General features: G+C 43.9%; 1 protein-coding gene across 10 annotated transcripts in view; it reads right to left on the bottom strand.

Annotated features, from left to right (window-relative positions):
• The window catches only part of SHLD1 (shieldin complex subunit 1), a 114,203-nt gene that overhangs the window by 71,948 nt on the left and 18,699 nt on the right, over nt 1-23,556 (bottom strand). For 5 of the 10 annotated variants that reach the window (XM_011529177.3, XM_047439931.1, NM_001303477.2 and 2 more), the window contains one exon: nt 19,405-19,586. In XM_011529177.3, coding sequence (XP_011527479.1) covers nt 19,405-19,586 — 182 coding nt within the window. Of the gene's footprint in view, nt 1-3,735; nt 3,806-15,903; nt 16,232-19,004; nt 19,317-19,404; nt 19,587-23,556 lie in introns of those variants that run through there. The other 5 variants (XM_011529180.3, NM_001303479.2, NM_001303478.2 and 2 more) reach the window with 4 other exon arrangements.

The following is a 23,556-nucleotide window of genomic DNA, read 5'->3' as shown; positions in this document are numbered from 1 at the left end:
ACTCTGTCTCAAAAAAACAAAAACAAACAAACAAACAAAAAGATAAAAAGAACAAACTCAAAACCTTATCTTACACAATATACAAAAATTAATTCAAAAATGGATTAAAGACCTAAACATAAGCCCTAAAACTATAAAACTCCTAGAAGAAAGCACAGAGGAAAAGCTTCATGACATTAGACTTGGCAATGATTTCTTAGACATGACACCGAAAGTACAGGAAACAAAAGCAAAAATGGACAAACTCAAAAACTTTTGCACATCAAAGGACATAATCAACAGAGTGAAAAGGCCATCTATAAAAAGGAAGAAAATATTTGCAAATCACATATCTGATAAGAAGTTAGTATCTAGAATACATAAAGAACTCCTACAACTCAATAACAAAAAAAATCAACCCAATTTTAAAAATAGGCAAAGGATTTCAATAGATGTTTCTTCAAAGATGGTATGCAAATGGCCAATAAACATGTGGAAAATATGTTCAACGTTACCAATCATCAGAAAAGTGCAAGTCAAAACCAGAGTGAGATATCACCTCACACCCATTAGGATGGTCACTATCAAAAAAGCAGAAAATAACAAGTGTTGTTGGCAAGGATGTGGAGAAACTGAATTGTGTATTGACCTGTAAAAGTGAACTGCATTTTTTTTTGAGAGTCGAGTTTTGAGAGTTCTTTACATATTGTAGAAACTAGTTCTTTGTCAGGTATGGGATTTGCAAATATTTTCTCCCAGTCTGTGGCCTGTCTTTTCATTCTCTTCACATGGGCTTTCACAAAGCAAAGGTTTTTAATTTTTATGAGGTCCAATTTATCAATGTTTGGCTATATTTTTCAGTTCTATCATTTATATCATTTCCTTTTTTTTTTTTTTTTTTTTTTGAGACAGGGTCTTGCTTTGTGGTCCACGCTGGAGTGCAGTGGTGCAATTATGGCTCACTGCAGCCTCGACCTCCAGGACAATAGCGATCCTCCCAGCTCAGTTCCCGAAGTAGCTGGGACTACATGAGTGCCCCATCACACCCAGCTAATTTTTGTATTTTTTGTAGAGACGAGGTTTCGCCATGTTACCCAGACTGGTCTTGAACTCCTGGGCTCAAGCCATCTACTGCCTCAGCCTCCCAGAGTGCTAGGATTACAGGTGGAAGCCACTGTGCCCAACTGACTTGCTTCTTTTTATAACTTTTATTTATTTGCTAAGATTTTCTGTTTTTTCATTATTTCAAGAGAACTTATAATTGATTGTTCAGGCATTTTTATAATGGCTGCTTTAAAATCCTTGTCAAATAAGGTATTTCTCTGTTGCTCAAGATGGCATATAGTGGCACAATCACAGCCCACTGCAGCTTTGAACTCCTGGGATCAGGCGATCCTCTTGCCTCAGCCTCCCAAGTAGCTAGGACTAAAAGTGCGTGCCACCCTGCCTGGCAAATTTTTTTATTTTTTGTAGAGACAGGGTCTTACTATATCATCCAACGTGGTCTCAAACTCCTGGCCTCAAGTGATCCACCTGCCTCAGCCTCCCAAAGTGCTGGGAGTACAGGCGTGAGCCACCGCGCTCAGCCATGACTGTCTTTTTTCATTCAAGTCGTAATTTTTTGGTTCTTGGTATGACAAGTGATCTTTAGTTGTATCTAAACATTTTGTCTATTACATTTAGAGAATTTTGGTCCTACTGAAATCTTTTATTTTGGCCAGGCGTGGTGGCTCACACCTGTAATCCCAGCACTTTGGGAGGCCAAGGTGGGTGGATCACCTGAGGTCAGGAGTTCAAGACCAGCCTGGCCAACACGGTGAAACCCCGTCTCTACTAAAAATACAAAAAAATAGCCGGGCATGGAGGCAGGTGCCTGTAATCCCAGCTTCTCAGGAGGCTGAGGCGGGAGAATAGCTTGAACCCAGGGGGCGGAGTTTGCAGTGAGCCGAGATCGCACCATTGCACTCCAGCCTCGGTGAAACAGTGAGACTCCAACTCAAAAAAAAAAAAAAAAAAAGAAATCCTTTATGTTAGCATGCAGGTCCTGGCCTACTTTTGTGATTGTGGTTTCAATGAAAGTTTAATTTTCAGTGCTTTTGCTGTTTTTGATCTGTTTGGTTTATCTGGAACTGCTGAGTTTCCACAGGCTCCTGCTAGTGCTGCCTGAAGGAATGGAAGATGTTTTCCCAGGCCTCATGCTCAGAGTATGGGAATCTCTAGGGGAGGAAGGAAGTTTCAGGCTCCCTGGGAGGAAGAAGGTCCCTGGGTTGGGCTGTCTGAGGTAGTGGGATCCCCTCTGCCAGTGCCCCCCAGCTCCCCAGTGAATGTAGGCAGGGGAGGGAGGCTCTGGCCCAGGGGAACAAAGAGGCTTCCCAGGCCAGATCATTTGTTGAACTGGCAGAATCCTCCCACATGTGCATGCTTGCCACAGAGCTCTCACTCAGCAGGGGAAGGAAGTCCCAGGCCCTCTGAAGGTGAGCACTTCCTCTGGCTACTTAGTGGCCTCCTATTAATCTCCCCTTCCCGGGGGCTGGGCTTTCCTGGTCATGTTGGATAGATAATCTGTCAGTCCTGGGGAGAAGGTCCCGGGCCACCTTCTTGTTGCTAGGTTGCAGGTTAGGATGCACTGGGTCTGGGTCACCTTCTTCAGTTGGGTAGGAGGACAGAAGACACTCGGACACCATATTGTTCCTCCAGTCCTGGGGCCCCAAACTAATTCACCTTCTTACTAAATCTCCAAGTTCTCCTTTGGTTGCCTCTTGCATTTCCAGGGTTCATAGTTGCTTAGCAGGGAAGAACAAGGAGAAATAGTTTCATGCCATCTTATTAGATTACAAGTTCCAAAAGTTTTTTTTTTCTCAATTTTGTGATTACTTTTTTTTTTTTTTTTTTAGATCAAGTTTTGCTCTTGTCACCCAGGCTGGAGTGCAATGGCACAATCTCAGCTCACTGCAACCTCTGCCTCCTGGGTTCAAGTGATTCTCCTGCCTCAGCCTCCCTAGTAGCTGGGATTACAGGTGCCCACCACCACGCCCAGCTAATTTTTGTATCTTTAGTAGAGACAGGGTTTCACCATGTTGGCCAGGCTGGTCTCAAACTCTTGACCTTAGGTGATCTGCCCACCTTGGCCTCCCAAAGTGTTGGGATTACAGGTGTGAGCCACTGCACCTGGCCAATTACCCTTTAATGGTACTATAATTTCATCAAAAAAGTAAAATTTAAATCCTTTGGTCTTATCTTTGCCAAAAAAAAAAAAAAAAGCACAACTTTTATTGGCAAACGTATAAAGAAAAATCAGACATCACTTTTTCTTTTCTTCTTTTTTGTTTTTTTGTTTTTGAGACAGTCTCACTCTCTCTGTCTCCCAGGCTGGAGTGCAGTGGCTCGATCTCAGCTCACTGCAACCTTCTGGGTTCAAGTGAATCTCATGCCTCAGCCTCCCAAGTAGCTGGGATTACAGGTGCGTGCCACTATGCCCAGATAATTTTTTGTATTTTTAGTAGAGACAGGGTTTTTACCATGGTGGCCAATCTGGTCTCGATCTCCTGATCTCAAGTGATCCACCTGCCTCAGCCTCCCAAAGTGCTGGGATTACAGGCATGAGCCACTGAGCCCAGCAAAAAAAATTAGACATCACTATTCATGTGTGTATTCTAGCCTGAAATCAACCCAGCTGGATAAATGAAAAAAGATTTCAAATTATATAATTCATGTGCAGTGAATATAACTAACAGTGGTGACCTTAAGAGAAATTACCTCCTTGGATTTCAGTTGAGTAAAATAATCTCTGAGAACTTTTAATTCTACCTCGAGTAGGCACAGAACTCTGCAAAGAACAAATGAGAAAGGTTTAACACACATCTGGTACGTTTAAATTCTTTTTCTCAGTAAGGCTCAGGAAAGTGTAACAAGTAGCCACCAGAGGGCAGTAGACTCAAACACTGTCTGATAGCAAGAACTCGCCAGGCACCACCTCCAGGCCTAGGCTCAGAGCAGCAGCTCTCTGGGTATTATTGGCTGAAAACATGCAATATTATTTTAACCATTTTTCCTCAAACTCAACTTCTAAAATGGTGTTAGTCTGAGGGTCACTTCCTCATCTTATTTATACTGCATTTTACAATCCCTAATATTTTCCAATTTGTAAAAGAAAATTCTGGACAAAACAACAACTACTGAATATACTAGGAAGAAATGGGGGTACACCTCTGTTTTTTTGTTTTTTACAATTTATTTAAATTTGCCCCTCAATTGTATTATTTTTAAGAAGGAAAAAAACCTCACATACTTAAAATATGGAATACAGTTTTCTTAAGAAAATAGCTTTGAAAGCAATTTAGGGGTATCCTTAAAGCCATAATTGCATACATGGTTATTACAGAAATATTTGCTAAAAAAGAAACAACTCCACTAGGAACATGCTTTCTTCATGATGGGGAAATGTAGGAATAACATTCTATTCTCAGTAGCACTATATCTCCTTACAGCTGTTCATTTCTCTACTTGTTTTCTTTTCAAGGAAAAAAAGCCAGGGGCTTTTGAGAGAGACTAGTTGACTTTCTAGTCAAGAGTTAAACAAATCTGCAGGGCTTATGTAATAATATATGCTTTTAACTTAGAAATGTTATATTATCCTACACAGATCACACAGAGCTTTAAATTTTATGATAATTTTACAAATGGATGAGCAGGGCACCGTGATAAATACTTGATCTCCATTTTTAAACCTTATCAAGTTTCACTTATATGTGTTTTTCATTTATTCATTCACCAGCCTTTACTGAGCACCTACCATGTGCCAGGAACTGACTGACCCTTATTCCCTACTCACACCAGGGTCTAGGCGTAGCAGGCAGAAGCTGCAGGCATTGTGTGATTAGGCCAGGCAGTGGGCAAAACATGAACCTGGTCAGTCAAACATGGGGGACCCAGGAATTAACATAAAAGCCTTTATCCTTAAAAGTTATGTTCTAATAAGCTGGGTTTTTGTAACTTCAAGCATGTTACCAAAAGCCAACTATCAAAAACTCCAGGGAGCTAAAAGGTTGGCCAAGGGCAGCCACTCAGCAGACAAACAGCAACTTCAAGGGCAAAGAGCCAAGAATAAGAAGAGTTCTGGCACCAGATGAGAAAATTTCTTCTGGGTAGAAAAAGTGATCAAGGGCTTCATTGATTCCAGCAAAGGGAGTTAAAATTCCTGACTTGTTTTCTTCCCTGGGTTTTCACATAAGAAGTTGGATCCTACCTGGTGTGAGAAATTTAACTGAGAAGGCAATGCCTTTGTGGGGACCAAGGCCCTTGGCCCCCTGGAGGTTTGTTGAAAATCACTGACATGAGGCAGATTGATTGATGGGAGAAAGGCATACAAATTTATTTAATGTGTATGCACTGAAGCCTTCAGAATGCAAACCCAAAGATACAGGGGAAATTGTCCATTTTTATGCTTAGGTTCAATAAACTATGGACTTTGTTGTAGAAATAAGACCTTCATATTTCTACAACAGCAGAAATAGCAGTGTGGTCAGGAGGCACACATGAGAGGATCCTGCCAATTCAACAAATGATCAAATGATCTGGCTTGAGAAGCCTTTTTGTCTTCCTGGGGCAGAGATTCCCCTTCCCTGCCCATATTCACTGGGGCAGATGGGAGGCACTGGGAAAGGGGAATCAAAGTGTAGAAATATGATTGAACAAAAAAGGTAAGATCTAATGTTAATAGATTCAGTGGGGAGCCCAGCAAGGCCTGTCTGTCTAGATTCTTCTTGGCCTCTCTGAGCAGCGCTCCTTCCTTCAGGGCATGGGACAGGACCTTCTCTGAAATGGGGGTCTTATCACCTACAGTCAAACAAAGTAGGTCAGATAATTTTTCTTTTCTTTTTTTTTTTAATTTAAAAGAGATGAGGTCTCATTCTGTCACTCAGGTTAAAGTGCAGTGGCACGACTGTAGCTTACTGTAGCCCCAACCTCCTGCGCTCAAGCAATCCTCCCACCTCAGCCTCCTAAGTACCTGGGACTGTAGGTGCATGCTACCATGCCCAGTTAATTTATTTTATTTGTAGAGGCGAGGTCTTGCTATGTTGGCCAGGCTGGTCTCGAACTCCTGGCTTCAAGCGAACCTCCCGTCTCGGCTTCCCAAAGTGCTGGGATCACAAGGGTGAGCCACTGCACCCAGCCAGATAATTTCTTTATGGCCAAGTTTTACCCAGAAAGGCAGAGGGAAAATTAGAGTAATATTTTTAGGTTCTATGGCTGGTTTGGAGAAAGGGGGTTCTGGTTTCTATGACCCACCTTGGGGAAGAGGGATTCTAGCTTCTATGGCTGGCCTTGGGTGGAGAATGAGACTCAGACAAGAGGGCAGACAAAGGTCAAAGGAAAACTTTTGCTTCTGAGGCTGCTGCAGAGACCTTCATTTTGGGGTACTGCTTTCTGAGCCCCAACACCTTCTCTCCAATTAGTGCACAAGTAGTTCAAGCTTCTTCCACAACAGGAAGATGGGAGAAATGGAAAGGAGAGCACAGTGAAGAGTGGACACAATGCTGGTCCAGTGGACCAGGAGTCACAGTCACCCTGACAGGGTACCAATATCGGCTTGAAGATACTGACTTAGTAGAAAGATGCTAGCTCAGACTTAAAGAAGTAACTGCATATTTAAAGCTTTTTTTTTTTTTTTTTGGAGACGGAGTCTTACTCTGTTACCCAGGCTGGAGTGCAGTGGCACAGTCTCGGCTCACTGCAACCTCTGTCTCCCGGGTTCAAGCAATTCTCCTGTCTCAGCCTCCCGAGTAGCTGAGACTACAGGCGTGTACCACCATGCCCAGCTAATTTTTGTATTTTTAGTAGAGACGGGGTTTCACTGTGTTGGCCAGGCTGGTCTCGAACTCCTGACCTCAGGTGATCCGCCCACTTTGGCCTCCCAAAGTGCTGGGATTACAGGCGTGAGACATCGTGCCTGGCCTAAAGCTTAATTCTTAATGCATAGTATGTAATCATACCTAGATGTCTGCATTTCTTTAAAGGTCTGCCTTTGCAGTCAACCTGACCCAGGTTTGAGTCTCAGATTTCCACCAGTCTGTGGGTAACATTAATATGAAACGAGCCTCTCTAAAACTGTTTCCTCATGAGTAACAAGGAGATCATAATAGGATTTACTTCTTGGGTGTGGCTGTGAGAATCAAAAGAACAACGTGTGTGAAATGCATAGCACAGTGCCTGAAATGTAAGTGCACAACAAATGGAAAAACCAGCCATCTTTTGGTCTTCCCTTGTGTATAGCCTTTATCTCATAAATACATAACAATGAATGAAACTAGTGACGGTGTCTGTTTGAAATGGGGGTCTTATGGCCTACGGTCTTTGGGATTGACTATTGTAATCAAGTTGTTTCCTTGTATTTTAAGAAGACATAGCTGAGTAAAAAGTCAGATGAATGCTTACTTGAAGAAGCCCTTGAGAGGAGCTATCAGGCCAGAACATGAGGTCACACTGCTGTGCACCTGGACTCGGCAGATAAGTGCCCCGGAGGTGTGGCTTGAGACAGTAACATGGCCAGTTTTTCAACTCAGTTGGGATTTCTTTTTAAAACTGTGACTGCAGGCAAAGTACACAGAAGTAAATAAGCCTCTTCCCCCATAGCACGTGCCCTTGAAACTTAAGAGTGAGGAACAACGAGAGATGTCACAGGTGGCAAATAACATTCTTGAGCTTTTAAAAATAATTCTGGGCCGGGCGCGGTGGCTCACGCCTGTAATCCCAGCACTTTGGGAGGCTGAGGCGGGCGGATCACAAGGTCAGGCGATCGAGACCAACCTGGCTAACACGGTGAAACCCCGTCTCTACTAAAAATATAAAAAATTAGCCGGGCGTGGTGGCGGGCGCCTGTAGTCCCAGCTACTCGGGAGGCTGAGGCAGGAGAATGGCGTGAACCCGGGAGGCGGAGCTTGCAGTGAGCCGAGATCGCGCCACTGCACTCCAGCCTGGACAGCAGAGGAGACTCCAACTCAAAAATAAAATAAAAAAAATTAAAAATAAATAAATAAATAAAATAATTCTATTATTATCCTCTCCAGTGACTATTTAATGTGACACATAATTTAGCAGTACATATCGAAAGTTATAGAGAACTATACTTTTTTAGTTTTAAAGAAGGGATAGAGAAGTTACAGTTAGTCTGCACAGAGGGTCACCCAGAAAATAGGAGTTGCCAGGTTACTACATGGCCTTGGGTGATTTTCTTCATTATCCTGGGATTCAACTTCCCCATGTGGAAAATGAGAGGATTAGCTGGGCTCTGTGGTTTTCTTTTTTCTTTTTTTTTTTTTTAAGACAGTCTCACTTTGTCGCCCAGGCTGGAGTGCCCGTGGCGCCATCTCGGCTCACTGCAACCTCCGCCTCCCGGGTTCAAGCAATTCTCCTGCCTCAGCCTCCTGAGTAGCTGGAATTACAGGCTCACACCACCAACCTGGCTAATTTTTGTATTTTTAGTAGAGACGGCGTTTTGCCATGTTGACCAGGCTGGTCTCAAACTCCTGGCTTCAAGTGATCCACCAGCCTCGGCCTCCCAAAGTGCTGGGATTACAGGCGTGAGCCACCGCACCCGGCCGCTTAGTGGTTTTCGAACTCCTCCTGGTTCTGGCACCCTTTCTTTGGATGAATGCCTGCCTGGATGCATAAGGTAGAGCATCCAGGGCCCCACAAGCTCATGACCCCACTCAATCTCAAACTTGTAGTTCCTAAAGAGCTGTGAGGAACCACCAGCTCGGAGACTGTAACCTTCTCTAACTCTGTGAGCCTCAGTCATATACACTTATGGTTTATCCTTCACGCCTCAGGCCATACAATTAAAATTCACTGCTGCCTTCTAACAGCAGCATGCAAAGAGCTCAAAATCCGATTCTGGAGCTGAAAATCCAGTCTAGATAGCTGAATCTGCATAACTCAATCTAGGAGGCTGGGCATGGTGGCTCTCGCCTATAATCCCAGCACTTTGGGAGGCCAAGGTAGGTGGATCAACTGAGGTCAGGGGTTTGAGACCAGCCTGGCCAACATGGTGAAACCTTGTCTCTACTAAAAATACAAAAATTAGCCGGGTGTGGTGGCGGGCTCCTGTAGTGCCAGCTACTCGGGAGGCTGAGGCAGGAGAATCCTTGAAACTGGGAGGCGGAGGTCGCAGTGAGCCGAGACCTTGCCACTGCACTCCAGCCTGGGTGATGGAGTGAGACTCTGTCTCAAAACAACAACAACAACAAAAACCCCAAATCTAGGAAGAGGCAACAAAAGCAGAGAAGCACTGCCACACAGAATACCCAAACCTTCCAAATAAAGCCCATCTACTTGGTATCTGATAAAATGTACCCAATTGTGTCCTCAGTTATTTCTCAGAGAATTGGTTCAATAACCATTGTTCCCTTCTTTCCTTTCCTCTCCATACTCTCTGTATCTCAGGTTTGGTCTAGTGACTGGGTATTAGCCACTAGGTTGGATATCACTTAATGCAACTATAAAATGTCTTTAGCATTTTATGTATATATCTAAAATATACCCTGACTCCTATTTTAAAACTACAACAACACATCAAGAATTTGACAACTAGTATATAAATTTTATTTTGAGTTTTTTTATCTAAGAGCTTATAATTCATTCCTTTTGGAAATAAAATTTTATAGAATTCCAAAGAAATATGAATTATAGAGAGGAAGACAACAAACTTTTTTTTACTCTTAAATACTAAATTCCTTGGATGAAATGCCTAAATACACAAGTTACAAAATGGGCTTTGAAGAGTGGGATGTTGACAGATTCCCAGAATAAGACTAAAGGTGCATTAAATCACTATTTACTTTAAACTTATAACTGCCTGCCAGCTATGGCCTTTAATCATCAAAGACTTATTGTGTTTAACATTCAATTTGCTGTCTACATGCAACCAATTTCCCCGACACTGCTCTTAGGCAGAAGTTCAAGTTTGAGGAAAGGGCTGATATTTCCTACATCTGTATTGTTAATGTCTAACAACGACTTCAGAGAAAACTCCTTGTCCTATATTAGAAAGTACCTTGGATGCTCTCCAGGACAAAGGTTCCAGAGGGTGCAGGTGAGATACGCCACATGAGCTACCCAGAGTTTATCAAGCTCTAGCAGTACATGTGGGACTGGGCCTTCGGGTGACCTTTGTGATCTTGCTTTTGAGAGGTTTAACCAAGATCATCTGTTTCTTAACTCCGCTCTTCCATTCTGTATACTCTGTGCTTCCCTTGAGCCAAGCAGCAAACGAGAAAGAAAACAAGTATCTAACAGACAGGGTGTTCAAGTCCAGCAGCAAGTCTGTACCTGGGACTAATTAATGGATTCAATTCAGCCATCTCTGGAGTGGACTGGAGTTGACCAGGGAGGAGGGGGCACATTCCAGAGAGGGGAACAATGCAGCTAAGACATTAACAGTTGGCTCAGCCTAAAAGCAAGCCCGACAGGACTGGCAGGCCTGTGTTAATGTGCAGTTGGACAGCAGCAGGGGCCTCTATTCAGCTCGTGTGCACCTGTACAGTCGTGCCGGTTGTTGAAATATTGCAATACTGCTGTATTGGTTATTAAATATTTTGAACAAATATTCCAGGCAGCAGATTACACAGAGTCCCGAAAACAAGGCAGAGGAGCTTTTTGATTGGAGCTGGAAGGAAAGAAGTAGTGTAAGATTGGCCGGGTGTGGTAGCTCACACCTGTAATCCGAACACTTCGGGAGGCCAAGGTGGACGGATGACTTGAGGTCAGGAGTTCAAGACCAGCCTGGCCAACATGGTGAAACCCTGTCTCTACTAAAAATACAAAAAAATAGCTGGGCAGGGTGGTGGGTGCCTGTAATCCCAGCTACTCAGGAGGCTGAGGCAGGAGAATCGCTTGAACCCAGGAGGCGGAGGTTGCAGGGAGCCGAGATTGCACCATTGCACTCCAGCCTGGACAACAGAGCGAGACTCAGTCTAAAGACAAAAGTAGTGTAATATGACATCTCAAAGGGACCTAAACAGAAGAATGTTATGGAAAAGGTGTTCCAGGAACACTCTATATTTTTCTTTCTTTAGAAAGAGGGTCTCACTCTGTCCCGCAGGCTAGAGTGCAGTGGTACAATCATAGCTCACTGTAGCCTCGAACTCCTGGGCTCAAGCAATCCTCCCACCTTGACCTCCCAAAGTGCTGGGATTATAGGCATGAGCCTCTGCACTCGCTCTCAGGAAGCCCTGTTTGGCAGTAGCAGGTCTTCTGCCATATCTCACTAGGAAGGGCTGAGGGGAGGATTTTATAATCCTGCACCTGCTTTAAGTGAAAAGTTGTTTATTTTACCATCATTTCATGAGGAGTGGCTGGGTGGGAACTTCAGGCCAGATGGACTGTGTCTTTATTAGACATATATAGCCTAGTTTTACCCATCTTTACATACTCATACTGGAATGACTAAGGCTTTTGAGGTTTTTCTAACACTCTCAGATTCTTATCAGCCCAGTAGTTTTCTGGAAAGTGCTCTTAAGTCTCATGTCCTTGCTACTAATTTGCTCCTCCAGAGTATGAACAGTGATGCGGCAGTTGGGCACATAGCAAAAGGACAGAGAAGCGTCCATCCAGTTTGGCTCCTAGGGAAGATCATTGGCATCTGAGTAAGGGCAGGCTTAGTCCAGAGGGGAATGGAGGTAGAGGCCATGTGCCTGGGAATGAGGAGCAATCCTGAGATGAAGAAGTGAGGAGGAAGGCAGGCAGCCCCTTCAAAAAGCCTGGCTGGGAAAAGCAGGGCAGGGATAGGCCCATGGTCAGGGGCAGCTGCAAGGTGAAATGGGGAATCCTTTACACAAGTTAAGCCTAAGCCTGGGCCCATGTTCTTGTAACTGGGTTTTGCAGCGGTCCTTGCTATATCCTAAATCTAAGGTCACCCTTCCTTGGCCTACTACTCTTCCAGGGGTTAGAACTGTGACACTGACTCCAACCTGGAAGCTGGGACCTTGCTACTCACTGAGAAGGCACCTGCACACTGCCTGCCACCTGCCTGGATTTCTGGGTATTCTCTCCAGCGTGCCTGTTGCTGGGCTGTGCTGTGCCACCAGAAGACTACGCCACGCCTCCACTGTGAACCCCAACCCCTTGCCAACTCTGTGTCTGGATTTTGACTGAAGAATTTGATAACAGATGATATGACTGAACTCTTACAGTCAAGCCGGGTGCACTGGCTCACACCTGTAATTCAGCACTTTGGGAGGCTGAGGTGGGCAAATCACTTGAGGCCAGGAGTTTGAGACCAGACTGGCCAACATGGCAAAACCTTGTCTCCACTAAAAATACAAAAATTAGCTGGGTGTGGTGGTGCACCCCTGTAATCCCAGCTACTAGGGAGGCTGAGGCATGAGAATCACTTGAGCCTGGGAAGCAGAGGTTGCAGTGAGCTGAGATTGCACCACTGCACTCCAGCCTGGGTGACAGAGCAAGACTCTGTCTCCAAAAAAAAAAAAAAAAAAAAAAACAGAAATTGTAAAAACTATGCCAAGTTAATGAATCCTAATGACCAAAGCTTGGCTCTATTTCACCCAGTAGCTGGGGGAGCCAGGTCCCAAGTTCACCCTTAGACCCCCCATTCAGCTGTAAGCAACCTGCCATACTCTGCCAGTTCTTGAGATAGTCAACTCTATTTTGAGCCAAGCACAAGCTACATGAAGGTAGCCAACAGTGTGTGCCTCACTGAGTAAATACCAGGATGGGCAGAGACCAATGGTGAGTCACCCTGAATGACCCTCCAACTGGAAACCTTGGCTATATTTCCCAATCCCTGGAAGATCAACTTCCTTACAACACATAACAGCAAGTAAGCAAGAGAGAACATCAAACTGGCTTGGGAACTGGAGGTGTTAAGAATCTGAGATAGAATGGTGGCCCAGTAGAGATTAGTGTAAAGGTGGGCATGTCTCTGAGCAAACAATAGATCCAGAGTCATCAGAATTAGATTAAAATGTCGGCAAGAGCCTCCTGAAGGGCCATGGGGAGAGAACCCGTAACTACAGCTACCTATGAACAAGAGGCATGGAAAAGAAAATGGACTCAACTTATAAATGAAAAACCCAGGCCCCTGGACAATTCTGAAACTTAAGGTGGAAAATGGTTAGGTCGGAGTAAACCAGGTTGGGCTGTTAGGGCAGTGACCTCCTTCAGAGTTTAAGGCTGTCACCTCAAGTTCATTGCTTGGTAACAGCAAGATTACCAGTGATAACCTCTCCTAACTGACTTTTTTTTTTTTTTTTAGACAGAGTCTCACTCTGTTGCCCAGACTAGAGTGCAGTAGTGTCATCTTGGCTCACTGCAGCCTCCACCTCCCAGGTTCAAGTGATTCTCATGCCTCAGCCTCCCAGTAGCTGGGATTACAGGTGCCCACCACCATGCCTGGCTGATTTTTGTATTTTTAGTAGAGATGAGATTTCACCATGTTGTCCAGGCTGGTCTTGAATTTCTGGCCTCAAGCGATACACCTGCTTCGCCCTCCCAAAGTGCTGGGATTACAGGCATGAGCCACTGCATCTGGCCTCCTAACTGACTTTTGTAGATAATTTCTCACAAAAGGTAGCTCTGGAATGTTTACAGAAAAATCAACAGCCTTCCATGCTGTGTAAAAGTCTCCTAGTGATGTTAAAATGAAGTTCTCTTTGTGATAGATAAACCTGAGCACGTTTATTTCTGCTTAGGGTGATCTACTAGAGATGGTGTTATTAAATAACAGAACGGCTGGGCTTCCATTTGATTCTAGTGTATTCCCTGCTCCTGTCATGGCTGAAAGATACCATTCTCACTTAGTTCTTGGGAAGCTCTGGGTGATCTGGTCCTTATTTTTTTTTTTTTTTTTGACAAGGTCTTGCTCTGTCGCCCAGGTTGGGGTGCAGTAGCACGATCATGGCTCACTGCAACCTCCACCTCCCAGGCTCAAGTGATTCTCCCACCTCAGCCTCCAGAGTAGCTGGAACCACAGGTGTGTACCACCACACCCGGCTAATTTTTAAATTTTTTTTTAGTAGAGACAGGGTTTTGCTACGTTGTCCAGGCTGGTCTCAAACTCCTGAACTCAAGGGATCCTCTCAAGCGGATCACAAGGTCAGGAGATCGAGACCATCCTGGCTAACACGGTGAAACCTCATCTCTACTAAAAATACAAAAAAAAAAAAAAAAACTAGCCAGGCATGGTGGTGGGCACCTGTAGTCCTAGCTACTTGGGAGGCTGACGCAGGAGAATGGCGTGAACCCAGGAGGCGGAGCTTGCAGTGAGCCGAGATCGCGCCACTGCACTCCAGCCTGGGCGACAGAACGAGACTCTGTCTCAAAAAAAAAAAAAAAAAAAAGAAAAAGGGATCCTCCTGCCTCAGCCTCATAATATACCAGATATGCCAGATAACAGGCATGAGCCACCACTCACAGCCCTGGTCCTTTTTAAAAACAAACCTAGTGGGTATTGTGGCAAAACATATAAAAGTACTACAGAATTGCAGAGTGCACAGCAAAATAAAAATTGTTTTAAAATGTTTAAGTTTGAATAAAATAGTATCAAAAAGTTAATATTCCTCCCTAAAACTCCTTCCACCTCTCCAAAGTGTTTGTTCTATCAAGTTAACAAAACTTGCCTAAATTTATTTGCAGCAGTTCCTTGTCTCAGTGGTATCATCCTCTTGGTCACTTCCCAGGTTAGAAAAAGCTTTCTTTTTCTTCCAATAACAATGTGATTTTAGCTGGGTGTGGTGGCTCATGCCTGTAATCCCAACACTGAGAGGTTGAGGCGGGAGGATCGCTTGGGCCCAGGAGTTCAAGACCAGCCTGGGCAACATAGTGAGATCTCATCTCTAAACAAAAAAAAAAAATAAAATTTTTTTTAATTAGCTAGGCAGGATAACACACGCCTATAGTCTTAACTACTTCAGAGGCTGAGAAGGGAAGATTGCTTGAGTCCAGGGGAACCACAATACTGCACTTCAGCCTGGGCAACAAAGCAGGATCATACCTCGAAAAAGAAAAAAAAAGTGAAACATTTCCTTTGGATTCAGTCAGCTCTGTCATTTGCTAAGTGACACTGGGAAAGTTTCCTAACTTTTCCAAGTTTGTTTCCTCACTTATTAAATGGGAATGATTTCCACTTCTCAGGTATGTGATAAGAATTAAAAGTGGTGATGTTTGGGCTGGGTGTGGTGGCTCACACCTGTAATCCCAACACTTTGGGAGGCTGAGGCAGGTGGATCACTTGAGGTCAGGAGTTCAAGACCAGCCTTGCCAACATGGTGAAACCTCATCTCTACTAAAAATATAAATATTAGCTGGGCATGGTGGTGCACGCCTGTAATCCCAGCTACTCAGGAGGCTGAGGCAGGAGAATTGCTTTAACCAGGGAGGTGGAGGTTGCAGTGAGCCGAGATTGTGCCACTGCACTCAGCCTGGGCAACAGAGTGAGACTCTGTCTTGAAAAGAAAAAAAAAAAGTGATGATGTTTGTGAAATATTTAGCATGGAGCCTGACAGTATAAAACCTGACAGGTAGTAAATGCTCAATAAATGGGAGTGATCACTATTAATGTGCCCTAAAACACTGCAGTGTGGAGTATGCAGAGAGCAATTATCACACCCAGAGCCTTCCATGGGGTAGGATGAGTAAACCAATGTGAATGCTTTTTTTTTATGCTTACTTATTTATTATTATTATTATTTTTGAGTCGGAGTCTTGCTCTGTTGCCGGGGCTGGAGTGCAATGGTGCGGTCTTGGCTCACTACAACCTCCACCTCCTGGGTTCAAGTGATTCTCCTGCCTCAGGCCCCCGAGTATCTGGGATTACAGGCGCCTGCCACCACGCCCGGCTAATTTTTGTATTTTTATTAGAGACAGGGTTTTACCATGTTGGCCAGGCTGGTCTAGAACCCCTGACCTCAGGCGATGCACCCGCCTCGGCCTCCCAAAGTGCTGGGATTACAGGCATGAGCCACTGTGCCCAGCTAGAGGTAATTAAGTTTTGAGGGTGGAAGCCTCATGATGGCATTAGTGCCCTTATAAGAGACATGAGAAAGAGGCTCTCTCTCTAGGCCATATGAGGACACAGGAAGACGGTGGCTGTCTACAAATCAAGAACAGGGACAGCACCAGACACCAAATCTGCTGGCACCTTGACCTTAGACTTTCCAGCCTCTGGAGCTGTGAGAAGCCACCCAGTGTATGGTATTTGTGATAAAAGCCTGAGCTGGCTGGGCGCAGTGGCTCACGCCTGTAATCCCAGAGCAGTGGCTCATGCCTGGGATGACCACAGCGGGTGGATCACTTGAGGTCAGGAGTTCAAGACCAGCCTGGCCAACATGGTGAACCCCGTCTCTACTAAAAACACAAAAATTAGCCAGGTGTGGTTGCGCTCACCTGTAATTCCAGCTACTTGGGAGGCTGAGACAGGAGAATTGCTTGAACCTGGGAGGTGGAGGTTGCAGTGAGCCAAGATCACGCCACTGTGCTCTAGCCTGGGTGACAGAGCGAGACTCCATCTCAAAAAAAAAAAAAAAAAAAAAATCCTGAGCTGACCAGGCAGTACTGCAGTGTGCTAAGCACCCCAGCTGATGAGGAATTGGATCTCCTGAGAGTCCACTCCCTGCCACACACTATGCCTCATGCACTACCTTGTACAACCTTATAACCTCCCCAACAAGGAGGTGCTGTTATCATCTCCATTTTACAAATAAGGAGACAGGTACAGAGGGGCTAAGTGGCTCGCCCAAAGTCAAACCAGGGGAAGAAGCAGAACCAGAATTCCAACCAGGCTGTCTAATCCAGCACGACCACCACTACTACCGTGTAAAATGGTTGTCTTAGCGTTTGAGTACCCCTTCCCATGTTTAGACATGGGTTCCCCAAACAACCTTTTTGGCATAGAATATCCATATTTTTAACAAATACCCCTACATAAATATTTCAACATGCTCCTTATTTTTAGAGCTGTCAACCAATTCCAATTAATAACAGTTGCTTTTCTACAGATTAGTCAACTAACAGGCAATAAAAAGTAAAAACTGAGTCCACACTGAATTCCCTAAGGGAATAGAGCCATTGCCTTGAAGTATTTCAACATGCTAATACTTCTAAAGTTCTGTTCAAACTGGATATGGTTGCTCACTCCCATTATCCCAGCACTTTGGGAGGCCATGGTGGGAGGATCACTTGAGGCCAAGAGTTCGAGACTTGCCTGGGCAACACAGCAAGACCCTGTCTCTACAAAAAAATTAAAAAAAAAAAAGCCATGTATGGTGATGTGAGCCTGTAATCCCAGCTACTTGGGAGGCTGAGGCAGGAGGATAGCTTCAGCTCAGGAGTTCAAGGCTGCAGTGAGCTATGATGGCACCACAGTATTCCAGCCTAGGCACAGAGCAAAACCCTGTCTCTAAATAAATAAATACATACACAAACAAAGTTCTGTTCAACTGCCTCCATTCACTCATTCTAAGAAATGCTGTTGCTACCCAGGGATGATGAACAAAATCAGTTTTAGGGATGGAAAGTCATGTAGAGGCAGCAGGATGGCAGGGAAAAAAGGGAAGGTTAAAGGAACTAAGATGTTAAGTCTAGAAAGGAAAAGGATAAAGAATTATCTAATTCTTGGTCAGTGATATGGTTTGGATTTGTGTCCCTGCCGAAATGTCATGTGGAATTGTCATCCCCAGTGTTGGAAGTGGGGCCTGGTGGGAGGTGATTGGTTCATGGGGCAGTTCCTCCTAATTGGTTTACAGCACCATCCCCTTGGTGCTGAGTTCCCATGAGATCTGGTTGTTTAAAAGTGTGTAGCACCTTCCCCCTCTCTTTCTTCCTCCTGCTTCAGCCATGTGAAGTGCCAGCTTCCCCTTTGCCTTCCGCCCTGATTGATGCCTAGCAGGTGCTTCTATGCTTCCCGTACAGCCTGCAGAACTGTGAGCCAATTAAACCTCTTTTCTCTATAAATTACCCAGTCTCAGGTATCTCTTTATAGCAGTGTGAGAATGAACTAACACAGTCAGGTACTAAATTAAACAGGAGACTTACTGATCCTGATTACTCTGTGTCCTGAAAATCAGCAGAGAATCCCAAACATATTTCTCCATAGAATTCTTGAAGGCAATGACAGTTACACATCCTACCTGTAGTCATCACTGAATTCATCATCATTAAAGCCTACATTTGCTTAGTACCCACAATGAGTTCTTTCTAAAAATATATATTTGGATTTGTTTTTTGTTGTTGTTTGTTTTTTGTTTTTTGTTTTGAGACAGAGTTTTGCTCTTTCGCTCAGACTGGAGTGAAGTGGCACGATCTCAGCTCACTGCAACCTCCACCTTCCGGGTTCAAGCGATTCTCCTGCTTCAGCCTCCCGAGTAGCTGGTATTACAGGCGCCCGCCACCACACCTGGCTAATTTTTGTATTTTTAGTAGAGACAGGGTTTCACCATGTTGGCCAGGCTGGTCTTGAACTCCTGACCTTAGGTGATCCACCCGCCTCGGCCTCCCAAAGTGTTAGGATTACAGGTGTGAGCTACCACACCCGGCCATTTGGATTTCTTAATATTAACGACAACAACATTGACTGAGCACCCATCGATGGCAGAAAAACCATGCTAAGTATCTTACAGGTTTACCTTAAGCTAAACCTGACTGGGTGGAGCAAGCATTCTGATCACCATTTTGTAGACGACTCTGGAGCTCAGAGGGGTTAAGGAACACGCCCCAAGTCACATAGCCAGCAAGTGGCAGAGCTGAACTTTAAATCCAGGTCTGTGTGATAAACCCAGGGGATTAACCAAAACTAACAAGAAATAAATGAATAAATAAATAAATCCAGGTCTGCGGGCCTCCAGACTCAGATCAGGTAATTAATATGAAAGAGAGGGCTTTACCACTAAAGACGGCCACTACCTACATCAGGGAATTATCATTAGTTTAAATAATAGATGTTTCGGCAATCTAGTCAGGAAACCTTGTAGAAAGGTTGTTACTTAAATCCACAGCATACTTCATACAAGGAATGCTAAAGTCTCTATTTTTATTACTCATCACACATAACAGGCCCACATTGCTATTTTCTGAAGTTTTAAAAGAACAAAACAAAAAAAAATTCCACTCTCTCTTTGTTGAACCAAATATTCCCCTGCTTCTGAATTCATTTTGAGGGAGATTAGAAAGAGACCTGAGATTAACAGCAACAATAACAAAAAGACATCCAGGAAACAGCTCCTTGTCATTGCTGTGCCAGGTAAGCTGTCCTTTGAAGTTCCTCCTGAAAGCTTTGCTTAGGTAAGATGTTTTTCTGCCTAAGACAATGAAGCATTCTCAGAGATCTGCTATTGGAAGAGAGAGAAACAAACTATCACACACCCGTATTGCTGCTAGTTGTTTTTAAGTTAGTTTGTTTTAAACTCTGCTTATTACCTGGATCCACATCAGAAGAATAAGGAAAAGAATGGAATTCCAAAGAACTGAAAGCCTCGCTGTTGGCTTCTTGGCTGGGTCCCTGCAGGACGTAATCTCTTATGTCACACGCTGATGGCAGGTCCAAAGCACTGCTCTCCTCTGACAGGCTGCCTGAAGTGGCGTCCCTGGCTGCCATAGTCCTGCCATGGAAAAAAGAAAACAATTCAGTACAAAAGGCACCACATAGCAGGATCCTTCATTGGAGACAGAGCTTGAAGAATTTTATTTGTTTTTTATTTTTATTTTTATTTTTGTAGAGATCAGGTCTCACTAAGTTGCCCAGGCTGGTCTTGAACTCCTGGGCTCAAGCAATCCTCCCACCTCAGCCTCCCAAAGTGATGGGATTATAGGTGTGAGCCACCATACCCACCCAAAAAATTTTAAAGGTCAAACAACAGTGAAATCAGAATGATTTACAGTAGTCCCCCCTTATGTGCGATTTTGCTCTCTGCAGTTTCAGTTGATCTCACCCAACTGTGGTTCAAAAATATTACATGGAAAACTCCAGAAATAAACAATTCATAAATTTCAAATTGTGCACCATTCTGAGTATTGTAATGAAATCTCATGCTGTCCCACTCCATCCCACCTGGGACATTAATTACCCCTGTCCAGCGTATCTGAACTGTACATGCTACCTGCCCCTTAGTCATTCAGTAGCCTTTTCAGTTACCAGATGGACTGTTGTGGTATCACAGTGCTTGTGTTCAAGTAACCCTTATTTTACTTATTAATGGCCCCAAAACACAAGAGTAGTGATGCCAGCAAGTCAGATATGCCAAAGATAGGCCACAAAATACTTTCTTTAGGCAAAAAGGTAAAAGTTGGCCAGGCACACTGGCTCATACCTGTAATCCCAGCACTTTGGGAGGCTGAGGTGGGTGGATCACCTGAGGTCAGGAGTTCAAGACCAGCCTGGCCAACATGGTGAAACCCTGTCTCTACTACAAATACAAAAATTTAGCCAGGCTTGGTGGTGGGTGCCTGTAATCCCAGCTACTTGGGAGTCAGAGGCAAGAGAATCCCTTGAACTTGCGAAGCGGAGGTTGCAGTGAGCGGAGACCGTGCTATTGCACTCCAGCCTGGGCAACAAGAGCAAACCTCCATCTCAAAAAAAAAAAAAAAAAAAAAAAAAAAAGGTAAAAGTTCTCAACTCAATAAGCAAAGAAAAAAATCATATGCCTAGGCTACTAAGATCTACTGTAACAATGAATCTTCTATCCGTGAAATTGTGAAGAAGGAAAAAGAAATTCATGTTAGTCTTGCTGACACACCTCAAACTGCAAAAGTTATAGCCACACGGAGGTTGTAGTGAGCCGAGATTGCACCACTGCACTCCAGCCTGGGCTACAGAGCAAGACTCTGTCTCAAAAAAAAAAAAAAGTTATGGAGTTATGGCCACAGTACATAAGTGCTTAGTTAAGATGAAAAAGGCCTTACATTTGTGCGTGGAAGATATGAACAGAAAGGTGTTCTGATAGCAGTGTGTTGTACCAGAAAGCACAGAACCTACACAAAGACATCAGCAAGGATCCCCTGAAACAAGTGACACCAAGCCATTTACTGCAAGTAAGGGACAGTTACACAGATTCAAGAATAGGTTTGGGCTGAAAAGCATAAAAATTACTAAAAAGGTTGCATTTGCCAGTGAAGAAGCTGCTGCAACATTTTTAGCAGACTTGAAGAAGTAGATTAAGGAGAAAAGATACCATACACAGCAAGTCTTCAATTGCAATAAAACTGGCCTCTTCTGGAAGAAGATGACCAATAGAACCTACATTCATAAAAGTGCAAAGGAAGCACCAGGGCATAAAGCATGAAAAGACTGGAAAGTACCAGATTAACTCTGGTACTCTGTGGCAACGCTGCAGGGCATATGATAAAGCTAAGCATAGTGTACAGAGCAAAGAACCCATGTGCTCTCAAAAGCAAAACCAAAAATTATTTATGCTTGTGTTCTAGCCATATAATCAGAAAGTATGGGTGACAGCTGTCTTGTTTATAGAGTGGTTCCACCAATGTATCAATGGTTCCCAGAAGTGAAAAAATATTTGAAAGAGGAAGGGCTGGAATTTAAGGACCTATTAATAATAGATAATGTACCTAACCATCCTGAATCTGTTTGCCATGAAAATGAAAATGCTGAGGTTGTATTTTTACCTGCAAATACAACCTTTTGCTTCAGCCGCTTGACTAGGACATCATTCATTTTCTCAAGGCCACATACATCTGCCTGGTATTTGATCACATTCAACAGCAATGGATGCAGACCCTAAACTGGAAATAATGTAGTGCTGGAAATCATTCACTATTGCTGATGCAATAGCACTCATCAAGTTGCAATGGATGAATTAAACCACAAACCAAATGCCTGCTGGAAGGACTGATGGAGTGGAAGTTGTGAATGATTTTAAAGGCTTGCCTGAAATTGATAGATGAATTAGGAAAATCATCCATGCAACAAGACAAGTTGATGGAGAAGGATTTGCTGATATGCTTGATGAAATAGAAGGACATACTGAAGGCCTTTGAGAAGTGTTAGCAAATGAGGAACTGGAAGAACTTTCATGTCCTCCACAGAGGAAGAGGAAGATGAAGAAAAAACTAAACCAGAACCAGCCATGTGGACATTACTAAAATTTGCTGAAGTGTTTCAAACTGCACTGACATTAAAGCACAAAATTATGGCATATGATCCTCAGATGGAATGCAGCTTAAAATCGCCTACAACTTCGCAGCAACACTTTTGAGTTAGAGAAAGGCAACAACCTCTGATTAGAATGTTCTTCCAAAAGTTTTCATCAAAAAACACTATCAAGGATCCCCAAGCATTGAGATCTTCATGGCTCAATGATCCAGTATTGCCTGAAGCAGAGGATCCTCCTTCTGATGTAACCTCAGAAAGTCAATAGTAGCCGAACACTAACAGTGCCTGCGCCATTCACCTCTCTTCATCTCATCACATAGGTAATTCCTTTTTTTTTTTTTTTTTTTTTTGAGAAGGAGTTTCACTCTTGTTGCCCAGGCTGGAGTGCAATGGCACAATCTCGGCTCACTGCAACCTCCGCCTCCTGGGTTCAAGCGATTCTCCTGCCTCAGCCTCCCAAGCAGCTGGGATTACAGGCATGTGCCACCACACCTGGCTAATTTTTGTATTTTTAGTAGAGACGGAGTTTTGCCATGTTGGCCAGGCTGGTCTCGAACCCCTGACCTCAGATGATCCACCCGTCTCAGCCTCCCAAAGTGCTGGGATTACAGGTGTGAGCCACAGTGCTCAGCCACGTAGGCATTTCATCATCTCACATCACCACAAAAAGAAGGGTGACTATAGTACAATAAGATATTTTGAGAGAGAGACCACATTCACATAACTTATATTACAGTATATTTTAATAACTGTTCTATTATTAGTTTTGTTGTTCATCTCCTACTGTGCCTAATTTATAAATTAACCTTTATCATAGGTATGTATATATGCATAGGAAAAAACGTAGTACATATTGGGTTCAGTACCATCTGCCATTTCGGGTATCCCCTGGGGGGTCCGTAGTCCACCTCAAGGGTAAGGCAGGACTGCTGTACTTTCCCCTGCTATTGATGGTCTTTAACTCAGTATTTGTTTACCCTGTTTTCTTCATCATGAGAAAGAATTGCTCTCAGCAGAGAAGAAACATTAATAATTTCAGCTGGAAAATAAACTGCATGTCAGAAAAGGGAATGGTTCAATCAGAGAGCACTCTCTCAATGAAATACCACACAGCACCATAACTCAAGGCCTACAAGAATATTTGATAAGGCTGGGTGCAGTGGCTCACGCCTGTAATTCCAGCACTTTGCGGGGCCGAGGCAGAAGCATCTCTTGAGCCCAGGAGTTGAAGACCAGCCTGGGCAACATAGCAAGACCCAATTTTTACAAAAAATTTTAAAAATTAGCCAAGTATGGTGGCATGTGCCTATAGTCCCAGCTACTCAGGAGGCAGAGTTGGGAGGATCACTTGAGCCTGGGAGGTCAAGGCTGCAGTGAGCTGTGATTGTGCCAATGCACTCCAGCCCAAACGAGAGTGAGACCTGTGTCTTACCAAAAAAAAAAAAAAAAACAATTACATGAGA

The sequence above is a fragment of the Homo sapiens genome, chromosome 20 (genome assembly GCF_000001405.40).
Source record: "Homo sapiens chromosome 20, GRCh38.p14 Primary Assembly".
In the NCBI taxonomy this organism is placed as follows: Eukaryota; Metazoa; Chordata; class Mammalia; order Primates; family Hominidae; genus Homo; species Homo sapiens.
Note: the sequence above shows the minus strand (reverse complement) of the source record. Positions and strands in the feature narration are given on the sequence as shown.